This window comes from Homo sapiens, chromosome 14 (genome assembly GCF_000001405.40).
Source record: "Homo sapiens chromosome 14, GRCh38.p14 Primary Assembly".
Classification (NCBI taxonomy): Eukaryota; Metazoa; Chordata; class Mammalia; order Primates; family Hominidae; genus Homo; species Homo sapiens.
Genome location: NC_000014.9, coordinates 44,929,250 through 44,942,356, shown reverse-complemented (window position 1 = coordinate 44,942,356; position 13,107 = coordinate 44,929,250). Strand labels below are relative to the sequence as shown.

The following is a 13,107-nucleotide window of genomic DNA, read 5'->3' as shown; positions in this document are numbered from 1 at the left end:
TAGGGTAGAAGTAGTAAAGATAGAGAATGGGGCATTCATTTTAAAAAATGTTTTAACAGAGTAAATTGACAGGATTTGGTGTTTGAATGGATATGAGGGAGGGATGATGAGGAAGAGGGAGGAATCCAAGATGAATGAGTTCTTTTGATTAGATGATTACATGGGTGGTTCATATATGCAGAGAGAGAGAGAATATGGGAGGAGAAGCCACTTTCAGGGGAAGAGTTTTGGACACATTGAGTTTGAAGTGCCTATGAAATATCCAGGTAAAGGATATTCTATGGTAGCTGGATATGAGTGCACAGCTCAAAGAAGAGCTCAGGGCTGGAAATTTGAAGGTCATCAGCATATAGTATAGTTTAGAGGTATGAATTAAAACTATGAAGTCTTTGATGGAGTTATTGACAGTTTAAATGTTCCTCCTTTTGCCTGGTGAGAAAATATAGAGAGGAAAAAGGATTGATTGTGAATGAAAATCTGGGAAACATTAATATTTAAGATGAGGGCAGCAGGAACAATTTTAGCGGTAGGGGAACCAAGTGAATAGAGTCATAAAAGCCAAGGAATTTGTGTGTCAAGAAGGAAGGAATGTGATCAGCTATGTAAAATGCACTGGAAAGATCCAGAAAGATAAAAATGGAAAAGTGGCTCTTAAACTTGGCATTATGGAGAACATAATGACTTTTGGTGGGTAATTTCTTTTTCTTTTTCTTTTTTTTTTTTTTTTTGAGACAGAGTTTCGCTGTTGTTGCCCAGGCTGGAGTGCAGTGGCGCAATCTCGGCTCACCGCAATCTCCGCCTCCCAGGTTCAAGCAATTCTCTTGCCTCAGCCTCCCGAGTAGCTGGGATTACAGGCTTGCACCACCACGCCCAGCTAATTTTGTATTTTTAGTAGAGACAGGGTTTCTCCATGCTGAGGCTGGTCTCGAACTCCTGACCTCAGGTGATCTGCCCACCTCAGCCTTCCACAGTGCTGGGATTACAGTCGTGAGCCACCGTGCCTGGCCTTGGTGGGTAATTTCAAGCAGAGTTGTAGAAATGCTGTAGATACATTACAGTGGGCCTAGAAGTGAATACAAAGTAAGGAAATAAACTGAATGAAGACTTTTCTTTTAAGAATCTTGCTAGAGACAGGAAGGAGAGAGTTAAGGCAGTAACTGATAGCATCAGGGGAAGTTTTGTTTGGTTTTATTTTGTTCTTGAAGAGAGAGACATGAGTTTTTTTTTGTTTATTTGGAGACGGCATCTCGCTCTGTCGCCCAGGTGTCTCACTTTGTTGCCCAGGCTGGAATGTATTGGCATCATCTCAACTCACAGCAACCTCTGCCTCCTGAGTTCGAGCGATTCTCCTGCCTCAGCCTCCTGAGTACCTGGGATTACAGGCATATGCCACCACACCCGGCTAATTTTTGTATTTTGGGTAGAAACAGGGTTTCACCATGTTGGTCAGGCTGGTCTTGAACTCCAGACCTTGTGATCCACCCGCCTCAGCCTCCCAAGTATTTTTATAATTAGATGAATAAAGAGATAAGTAAAGAGGGATAGGGTAAAGATATAAGATAGATGAATGCTTATTGATGAAGCAAGATCTTAGAGGAAATAGAAGAGATTGATATCAAAAGCAATGATAGAAAGTTGTGAATAGGAGAAAGAGAGACTCTTTATGCCTCAAGACAATTGAGGTTTACTGGCTGGCGGGGGGGTTGAAAGCAAGGGTTTAAAACAGCACTTGTCCAATGGCTTTAGTTTTTTTCTTTAATTAAGAGAGGAGGCCTGCTAGAGAAGAAAGTGGGGATTGGGTAGGTAACTTAAGAAAATTGGGGAAGCTCTGAGAACTGTATTGTTTCTACTTATACATAAGGAGTCATAAGGATGGCAATACATTGAAAGCATTTTTTGAATAGTTGTGCAAATATGTTAAATGTTGAATGGACATTCAGCCACATCACTCATCTCAACACTATAAACCACAGGTCTAATTCAAGAATGAAACTCTTATTAGAACTGATTATTATTGCCCTCTGCTATAGTTTAAATGTGTCCCTCCAAAATTCATGTGTTGGAAACTTAATTGCTGTTGGAACAATGTTAAGAGATGGGGCCTTTAAGAGGTGATTAGGCCATGAGGGCTCTGCTCTCATGAAGGGATTAATGCTATTATTGTGAGAGTAGGTTAGTTATCTCAGGAGTGGGCTCCTGATAATAAGATAAGTCCTGCTTCCATTTTCTCTTTGTCTCACATACATACTCGCTTGCACTTCATGTGATGTCTTCCATCATGGGATGACCCTTCCCAGATGCAGGCATCATGCTCTTGGACTTTACAGCCCCCAAAACTGAAAGCCAAATAAACTTTTGTTCTTTATAAATTACCCAGTATTTTGTATTAGCAGCAGAAAATGGGCCAAGGCAGAATACTGGTACCAAAAAGTGGGGCCATTGTTAAAACAAATATCTGAAAATATGGAAGTGGCTTTGGAACTGGTTAATGGGTAGAGGTTGGAAGAATTTTAAGTAGGAGTCTGGAAGAAGCCTAGATTGCCGTGAATAGAATGTTAAGGGTGATTCTGGTGAGGGCTCAGAAGAAGAGGCCATAGGGAAATTCTGGAACTTTTTAGAGATAACTTAAGTGGGCATGATCAGAATGTTGATAGAAATGTGCACAGTAAAGCTATTCTGATGAGGTCTCAAGCAGAAACTGAGAGTAAAGGCCATCCTTGCTATATATTAGCAAAGACCCTTGCTGAATTGCATCAGTTTCCTAGGACTTTATGGAATGCAGAACTTCAGAGCGATGAACATTCAGGCTGCTTTGTGGCTGCTTTTAACTGCATATAGTAAGGTGCGAGAGGGAAGAAATGATTTAAAAATGGAATTTATAATTAAATGGTAAGCGGAACAGAAAGACTTGGAAAATTAGCAGCTTGACCATGTAAAAAGTGAAAAGGTATCTTTTAGGAAAGTAAACCAAGGATGTGTGCTAAAGAGATGAGTGTGGTTACAGGGGAGCCAAGTGCTAGTCAAGACAATGGGAGAAAGGCCCTGAAGGCATTTTAAGATCTTTGAGGCTGTACCTCCCGTTGTAGTCTCAGAACACTAGGAGGGCAGAATGGTTTGGGGGAATCAGCCTGGGACACCCTCCACATGCTCACTGCCCATGGCCACCTTGGGAGTCTGCTCTCCACATTCTAGTGTAGCTTCCCCAGCTGTGGCTCAAATAGGCCCAGATGTGGCTCAGGCTGCTACTCTAGAAGGCACAAGTAGTAAGCTTTGGTGTTGGCCATGTGATGTTAACTCTACAGGCTTGCAGACTACAAGAGTTATGGGGGCATGGCTACCTTCTCCTACTGTAAGAGTGTTGCAGATAGCACAGGGGGCAAGCAGAAACCTGTCTTGAGGCAGAAGCACTACAGAGCACCCTCACTAGGGCAATGGCTAGGGGAGTCATGGGAATGGGGCCACCCCCAAAAAACACAGAACTGTAGTGCAAGTAGTGTGCAACGTCAGCCTGTCAGAACTGTAGGCACAAGATTCCAACCAGTGAGAGCTGTATGGGCTAAGCCCAGCAAAGTTATGGGGACAGGGCTGCCAGAGGTCTTGGGGGCCCAACTCCTGCCCCAGTGTATCCAGGAAGTAGGACATGGAGTCGAAGGAGATTATTCACCAGCTTTAAGACTTAATGTTTTCGGCCGGGCGCGGTGGCTCACGCTTGTAATCTCAGCACTTTGGGAGGCCAAGGCGGGCAGATCGCGAGGTCAGGAGATTGAGACCATCCTGGCTAACACAGTGAAACCCCATCTCTACTAAAAATACAAAAATTAGCTGGGCGTGGTGGTGGGCGCCTGTAGTCCCAGCTACTCGGGAGGCTGAGGCAGGAGAATGGTGTGAACCCGGGAGGCGGAGCTTGCAGTGAGCCGAGATTGCACCACTGCACTCCAGCCTGGGCGATAGAGCGAGACTCAGTCTCAAAAAAAAAAAAGAAGACAATGTTTTCCTTGTTGGGTTTTGGACTTACCTGGGCCCTCTTACTCTTTGTATTTCCTTTTTCTCCCTTTTGGAAGGAGAATATCTATTCTCTGCCTTTCTCACCATTGTGTTTTGGAAGTAAATAACTTGTTTTGATTTCACAGGCTCACAGCAGGAAGGGAATTTGCCTCAGGATGTATCATGCCTTGACTCTCGCTTATATATGATTTAGATAGACTCTGGAATTTGGACTTTTGAGTTGATGCTGGAATGAGTTAAGACTTTTGGGGCTATTGGGATGGAATTAATATATTTTGCATGTGAGAAGGACACGAATTTTGAGGGCCAGGGGCAAAATTCTATGGTTTGAAAGTGTTCCCCAAAAGTTCATATGTTGGAAATGTAATTGCCATTGAACAGTATTAGGAGGTGGGGCCTTTAATAGGTGACTAGACCCTGAAGGATCCACCCTCTTGAAGGGGTTAATACCATTATGGTGGGAGTGAGTGAGTTATTGCTAGAGTGGGCTCTTAATAAAAGGATAAGTCCGGCTGCCATTTTCTCTGTCTTGTGCACAGGCTTGCTAGCTATCCATGTGATGTCTTCTACCATGAGATGACCCTTCCCAGATGCTAGCACCATGTTCTTGGACTTCCCAGCCTCCAGTACCTTGAGCCAAATAAACTCCTGTTCTTTATAAATTACCCAGTCTGTAGTATTCTGTTATATCGGCAGAAAATGAACTAAGACACCATCAAAAGACCATAAGGACTAATGACATTGTATGTTGTATGTATTTAGCTAAATCATCTCCAGAAATCCATAACTTACAGATAATCCATCATCATAACCTTTAGTCTTACTATCACTGAGAAGTCTTACTCTCATACCAACCAATTTTCCAATTCTCTGACATCAACTAGGTATTTAACAATTCAATTCTGGGCCGGGCACAGTGGATCACGCCTGTAATCCCAGCACTTTGGGAGGCCTAGGCAGGCAGATCACAAGTTCAGGAGTTCGAGACCAGCCTGGCCAATATAGTGAAACCCTGTCTCTACTAAAAATACAAAAAAAGTTAGCTGAGGGTGGTGGTGCATGCCTGTAATCCCAGCTACTCAGGAGGCTGAGGCAGGAGAATTACTTGAACCTGGGAGGCGGAGGTTGTGGTGAGCCGAGATTGCGCCACTGCACTCCAGCCTGGGCGACAGAGTGAGACTCCGTCTCAAAAAAAAAAAAAAAGAAAAAAACAAACAAAAAAAACAATTCAATTCTGACACTAAGTCTTAAGAGTTAACCATATCCTACAGGTTAAGGGCTCAGTCCTAGACTGTTCCTACTTCAGATGCCAGCCTTTGTTATTACCAGTGACTTCAACACATTCAAAAATCTTGGTTCACACATTCCACTCTTTGACAGTGGTTTTTTCTTGCCAGCTTATTTCTTTCAGTACACACCCTCCAATGAGTCTTTGTCCCTTTCAGGATTCTTCATCCATTGGCCCCATAATCAGTTAGTAGAATTGATTGCTCTTGAACCACCACACGTTCTTATCTTCCATCTTGCCTAGCTTAGATTCGAGAAACATCACAGTCATCATTCCTTTAAATACGCCATGGCCCCTTTGCCTTTCTGTTCCTCCGTCATACTCATCTAGTTAAATTCAATTCTCCACTTAGGCCATGGCTACATCTGAGCAGCAGAATGTAACTGGAGAAACCTACATACCCATTTTAACTTGTCTCACATGGAGCCTTCAGCACTCCCCAGTAACTACTCTACATTTCCTTAATCAGTTTATTCTTTCACTCCCTCATGTCTGACACCTTCTGCTCTCTTAAAAACATCCACAAACCCTTCCCCTTACCTCTTATTCTACTGAAAAGATGGAAGCAACCAGAAGAGAACTACCTCATCTTCCCAACACCAAATCTGCCAAGTTATTTCTAAGACCAACCCTTCCACCTCTCTACTTATTCACTAGATTTCATTCACTCTGCATTACACAAAGACTTTGCTTTTCCATTTATCCTATCTCTCTCCTATATCATCATCTTCTCCCTCTGTACTATATGTATCATTACCATCAGCATGCAAACACATTTTGGTTTAAGCTTCCAGGTTAAATTAATCCCCTCTGGTCCCATGGTCTTTCTCTGCCCCACTTCATAGCTATCTGCTCATATTTATTTTACTCATTATAGTAAAAATCATTGGAAAGTTATACCCCCTGTTTTCACTTCCTTATCTCCCATTCTCTTTTAAACCTTGTTAGGGTCAGACTACTCCATCATATATCATTGCATCAAATTCATATTTTTAAAACAAGTATTATAATAAAAACTGACTTTAAATAGGAATTCTGTAACTATTGAGTGAATGAATATAGCTTGATTATACTGGATGGAGGACTTTTTTTATGCTGTTACATTATTGAGTTTGGGGACATTAGCTACTTTTTCCCAACTTTGCGGGGGGAGGGTAAAGATATATATATATACACACATATATATATACATACACATACACATACATACATGCAAAAGATTATATAGTATATGGGTGCAGGGTATCAAGAATAAATACTGAAGTACCTATCAACCAGCTTCACAGACTATTAACAATACTTCTGAAGTCCCCCTGTGCCCCTCCTTGCTGCCATCTCCCTTCCTCCAGAAGTATCCACTGTCCTGAATTTTTACGAACTATTCCCTTGCTTTTCATTATAATTTTGCCACATATTAAATGTGCCCCAATATATTGTTAGGTTTTACACGTTTTAATATAAGTGCAGTAATATATATTATTCAGATGTTTTTTCACTGAACAATGTTTGTGAAATTCATCTGTGAGATTGCATGAGGAAATGGTTCACTTAATTGATATGTTATATAGTGTATGAGCATAATATACTTTATCTTTCTACAATAAAAATTTTAATTTTAAGTATTAAAGTGTTACACACATGCAGAAAAATGTACAAATCCCAAATGTACAGCTCAGTGAATTACCACAAAGTAAACATTACAAACCAGTTCAAGAAACAGAGTATGACCAACACTCAAAAGCCACCCTTGAGCTCCCTTCTTGTCCTCCCCAAAAGTGACCACTATCTTCATTCCTAATCCAGAGATTCGTTTTACCTGTTTTTGAACTTAATTGATATCCTTTTGAATTTGACTTTTTTATCTCAACATTATGTGTGTAAGATTCCCCCAGCGACATGTAGCTATAGTTTGTTCCTTTCATTGCCATGTAGTATTCTTTTATATGATATGGCACAATTTATCCATTTTATAGTGGATAAACATTTGGATTGTTTCCACTTTGGAGCTGTTACAAATAATACTGTAGTAAACACTCTTGGACATATATGTATGCATGCCTTTTTCATCAGTAGAGTTGCTCAGACAGGACACATAAAGTACACTTTAACCATTCTTTTGGTGGATGATTGTGTTGTGCTTCTGTGAACATTTGTGTATATTTATCTAGATGCAAAATTATAATAGACATTCAGAAGAGTAGATATATAGGAATGTAATTACTGAGTCAGGACACATGTATCTTCAACTTTTTTAGATAATGTAAAATTGTTTTCCAGAGTAATTTATACAAGTTTACACTCTCACCAACGGAGTATGCATTTCTTGCTACACATTCTTGCCAACAATTATTATCTGACTTTATATTTTTTGCCACTTTGGAAGGTGTGTCATGGTTTATTGTGCTTTTAATTTTTGTGTCCCTGATTACTAATAAGATTAAACATATCTGTCTTTATGGGCCACTTTGGTTTTTAAATTTTATATTTTTTCTGCTTATTCTTTAGTGTGGAGATGTACTTTCCTCAGAATGACTCTTGGATTGGTTTGGCACCCCTAAACATTCCTCGCTATGAATTTGGAATATGCGTTTTAGACCAAAAAGTATATGTTATAGGTGGTATTGCAACTAATGTGCGTCCTGGCGTCACTATCAGAAAACATGAAAATTCAGTGGAATGCTGGAATCCTGATACAAATACTTGGACTTCTCTAGAGAGAATGAATGAAAGCCGAAGTACTCTTGGAGTAGTAGTACTTGCAGGAGAACTTTATGCCTTAGGTGGTTATGATGGACAATCTTATTTACAATCTGTAGAGAAGTACATTCCCAAAATAAGAAAATGGCAACCTGTGGCACCAATGACGACAACAAGAAGTTGTTTTGCTGCAGCGGTATTGGATGGAATGATATATGCCATTGGTGGGTATGGTCCTGCCCACATGAACAGGTATTTAACTTAATAATTAAATTGCATATGTTTATGGATTTTTAAAAGTCTCATTAGCAATGATTTCTGAGTTTTAAACAATTTGTGTGTATGAATGAACTTCCGGCATTTGGGAAACTTAATCTGCTCCATGGATATAATTGTAATTGTTTTACATGGGAATTTAATACAAACCTAACAATCAAATCCCTCTCATTAAATTTTACATTCATTCACTATAAATGGACTAGATTTTAAAACTCAGAAACCTAAAAATAAGATGAAGTTAGACAACTTTAGATTTTGTGTGGTGTGTACATCTATGTGCACAGTATGTAAATTATCTTTTATTGTATTGCTTAATAGAATAAAGAAGTAGAAATTTAATTCCTGTGTGTCTATACAATATTATAGCACATCATAAACTTAAAACCTTATTTAAATATTCCTTTCTGAATTCTTTCCTGTAATCATACATGTATCATCAGGTATTTGACTTGTGCTGGAGTTTGAATTTGTGATATCTGTATTCTGTAGTTTTATCTGAATAAAGGAGAAATATATATGAGAAAATAAAAGTATGAAGTAACTAGTTATATGAGAAATTAATCGTAATTCTGAACCTTTATTGAAAATTGATGTTCCAAAGGTTTTATCTTTGGCCAGGTGTGGTGGTTCACGCCTGTAATCCTAATACTTTGGGAGGCTGACGTGGGAGGATTGCTTGAGCCCAGGAGGTTGAGGCTGCAGTGAGCCTTGAATGCACTACTACACTCCAGCCTGAGCAACAGAGTGAGACCCTGTCTCAAAAAAAAAAAAAAAGAAAGAAAGAAAAGAAAAGATTGTATCTTTAATAGTAATTAGAGTGGTTTGTGTTATTTTGATTGTGAGTATTTTAATGACAGGGCATACAGTCAGCCCTCCATATCCACGGGTTCTACATCCACAGATCCATCCAACTGTGGATCAAAAATATTTGAAAAAATTTACAATAATAAAAAACAAAATAATACAGTATAACAGCTATTTGCATAGTATTATAAGTAATCTAGAGATGATTTAAAGTATACAAGAGGATACGTGTAGCTTATATGCAAATATTATACTGTTTTATATAAGGAACTTGAGCATCTGCAAATTTTGGTATCCTTGGGATGGGGTGGATCCTGGAACCAATCCTCTACAAATACTGAGGTTTGTTGACTGAGAAAGTGATGGCACAACAGCATTTCATCTGTAAATTTTTACTTCTATTGAAGCCAAAGTATTCCTCCTTTTATTTATTTATATTTTTTGCCCTTAGTTGAAGGAAAAATATGGGACATAGACATGCATTTCTATTCTTTGAAAAGCTTCTGCCCAAAATTTGTAAGATAAAAGGTTAAGTATTTTAAATTTGATTATCTTGAAAGTCTTGCTGCAGTGCATCAACTCTTCTTCAATGATTTTGGTCTAATGGATTCTATCCTGGAGTTCTTTCAGAAACATTACCCAGTCTCTATTATGAACTCCAGAATGGTGTCACAGCCTGTTAAATGCTTATGGTTTTTTCAGGAAATAGGTTAGGGCCAGAACAAGCCCAACAATCTTACCTCTGTGCCTTTGTGCACCTTCAGAGGAAACCATAGTCTTAAACAGCTGCTAGAATTTTCTAGGGAAGCCTTTTTGAAAATTCTGATTTAATTTGGATTCCATAATGCAGCTTAGAAATGCCACACGTTCTCTGAAACACAGTCTTGACTCAAATTCCTGAGTACTCCTAAATCACCCTGAGATAATTATGATCAGCCAGTTTGTACTATGCAATCTACAGTGATTGCTTTGCAGTAAGCCACATGAATTCTCCTGTGACGAAAAAAAATAAAGGTTTTTCTCCCCACCCCCCACCCCTCTCTTCCTCTTCTTTTCCCCTTAACTGTATAGAAGATCCTAAAAACCTCTGTATTCAAGCCAGGCATGGGGGCATGTACCTTTAGTCCTAGCTACTCAGGAGGCTGAGGCAGAAAGATCACTTTAGCCCCGGAATTTGAGGCTGCAGTGAGCTCTGATCTTGTCACTGCACTCCAGCCTAGGTGACAGAGCGAGACCTGCCTCAAAAATAAATAAATAAAATTTAGGAACAAAAAAAAAAAGTCTGTATTCAGTTAGTGGTTTTCAAAGTCACGTGCATACTCATTTGACTTTATTCTTATATGAATCCCTTCAGGTTGCACTATCCTCATTTTTGCAGGTGAGAGGAAATGACTTATTCAGGATTACACAAATCCACAGCAGTAGGGTTAAGGTTCGTTCAGCCCTAGGTATACAGAATTAGTACTTGAACCCAGGTCTTCTGACTCCAAGTTCTATGCTCTTAATATACTTTGCCGCTTGCACAATATAATGGAATAGCATATGGAATTGCACCTTGTTTACAAGGTAAGCTTTTATCTTTGCAATCTTATCAGCAAAACCTAAGCATTTGTGGCAGACTACTCTTGTTTAATATCTCTCTATTATGTGAACTTTTAAAGCTGTAGTGGGTTTTAGTTTTGCTTTGACAGGAAGAATGACACAAAAGATCTGTAAATTAAATTTTTTTTAAATATTTGCAGTGTGGAGCGTTATGATCCAAGTAAGGACTCCTGGGAGATGGTTGCATCCATGGCAGATAAAAGGATTCACTTTGGCGTGGGTGTCATGCTAGGCTTTATTTTTGTGGTGGGTGGACATAATGGAGTCTCACATTTGTCCAGCATTGAAAGATACGATCCTCATCAAAATCAGTGGACTGTGTGTAGACCAATGAAAGAACCTAGAACAGGTAATAAGAATTTATTAATTTCTAAACATGTAAGGCAATGTTTTCTATAATGATGTGCTTGCAATAATAGTTCCTTGGAATATAGCAGTAGGAATATTACTTGTCCAGAAAAAAAAAAAAAAAGACTTGTATGTGGTAAACTTGAAAGACAATTAGCTAGACAAAAGTATATAGATTTCTTTATTGTGACTTTTATATGCCAATGTGCATATTATTGTTTCTCAAACTTGCTGAATACATTTTGGGAAATGCTTATACTAGAGTGTGTATTTATAGAAGCTCCTTTTGTCCATGTAACAAATGTCATCTTTTCATATGTTACATACATACAATCCTCGGATTGTTCTGTTTTGTTTTCTATTGTATATCAGTAATCTGTATGTTCACTTTCAAATGTTCTTTCTTCCCCAGGGGGTATAGTTGATCAAAAAGGGTTGTATTTCAGAGTTCGTAGAAACAAAACAAATCCACTTTTGTGGTTTAGGAAAAATTGTTATCTTTGAACTCAAACTCATCACATCATTTTAAGGGAAAGGTTTTAAGATACTGACAGAAATGCTTTAGGGAGCACTCCTCATACAGATTGAATATTTCCTATCCAAAATGCTTAGGACCAGAAGTGTTTCAGGTTTTGGATTTGGGATTTTGGAATATTTGAATTATGCTTACCAGGTTGATCATGCCAAGTTCAAAAATCTAAAGTGTGAAATGCTTAAGTGAACACTTTCTTTGAGCATCATATGGTGCTCAAAAAGTTTCAGATGTTGGGCCAGGCACGGTGTGGCTCACACCTGTAATCCTAGCACTTTGGGAGGCCGAAGTGGGAGGATCACTTGAGGTCAGGAGTTCAAGACCAGCCTGGGCAACATGTTGAAACCCCATCTCTACTAAAAATGAAAAATTAGCCTGGTGCGGTGGCACATGCCTGTAGTGTCAGCTACTCGGGAGGCTGAGGCATGAGAATCGCTAGAACCGAGATCGCGCCACTGCACTCTAGCCTGGGAGACAGAGCAAGACTCCATCTCAAAAAAAAAAGTTTCAAATGTTGGAGCACTTTGGATTTCATATTTTTTGGGTATTGGATGTTCAACCTATATTTATGATTAAAGAACCTTTTGAAACAAACATGCAAGAGAAACTGAAAAGACAAGCTGAAATGAACTGTTTTAGTGTTTACTATAATTTGTTTCTTTTGTATCCTTGAGAGGGAAAGCCACAGAAACAATGAGAACTTTAAAAATTGGAGTAAACTGTTTCTTTTTAGAACTATATAAGATAATATCTAAAGTAGAATTTTTAGAAGCATAAATTATGTCATTTAATATATTTTAAATATTTCAATGTATTTGAAAACCTCATAAAATGATTTTTCTAGAATGAAATGAAATTAAAAAAAAATAGCCTATGGAAAGATATATACTCCATTTTCCTGTAGTGAAGGGAAAGGAAGAGTAGGATTAGAGAGGAGAGGTAAAGGAAGACTTCAACTCTTGCTTTTATTTATTTTATTTCAGTGTCTAGACAGGGTCCTAGGCTGTCGAGCCAGGCAGGAGTGCAGTGGAACAGTCATAGCTCACCGCTGCCTCAAACTTTTGGCCTCCAGCCATCCTCTCACCTCAGTAACTCTTACTTTTATTATAAGGATTTTGTTTTTCCATCAAGCTCATATTGCTCCAGTAGGCCCCCCATACCCACAGGAGATATATATTCCAAGACCCCCAGTGGACTGAAACTGCAGATAGTACCAAACCCTATATATGTAATATTTTTTCCTATACATATATATCTATGATAAGGTTTAGTTTGTAAATTAGGCGCAGTAAGAGATTAGCAACAACAATAATAGAATAGAACAATTGTAACAATATATTGTAATAAAAGTTATGTGGATGTGGTCTCCCTCAAAATATCTTACTGTACAGTACTCCCTATTTTCTAGTCATGGTTGACTTCAGGTAACTGAAAGCATGGAAAGCAAAAACTCAGATAAAGGGAGGACTACTGTATATTGCCTGTATAATTAATAATAGATTGTTAAAATGTATTTTAATAAAACATTAAAATACAAATTTATTTTTAGTGA

The 13,107-nt window shown here is 38.7% G+C and overlaps 1 protein-coding gene across 10 annotated transcripts in view; it reads left to right on the top strand.

The window, feature by feature from the left end:
- The window catches only part of KLHL28 (kelch like family member 28), a 37,624-nt gene that overhangs the window by 19,591 nt on the left and 4,926 nt on the right, over positions 1-13,107 (top strand). For 5 of the 10 annotated variants that reach the window (NM_017658.5, XM_011536847.4, XM_005267770.5 and 2 more), the window contains 2 exons: positions 7,799-8,242; positions 10,816-11,024. In NM_017658.5, coding sequence (NP_060128.2) covers positions 7,799-8,242; positions 10,816-11,024 — 653 coding nt within the window. Of the gene's footprint in view, positions 1-4,544; positions 4,671-7,798; positions 8,243-10,815; positions 11,025-13,107 lie in introns of those variants that run through there. The other 5 variants (XM_017021378.2, XM_047431492.1, XM_006720174.4 and 2 more) reach the window with 2 other exon arrangements.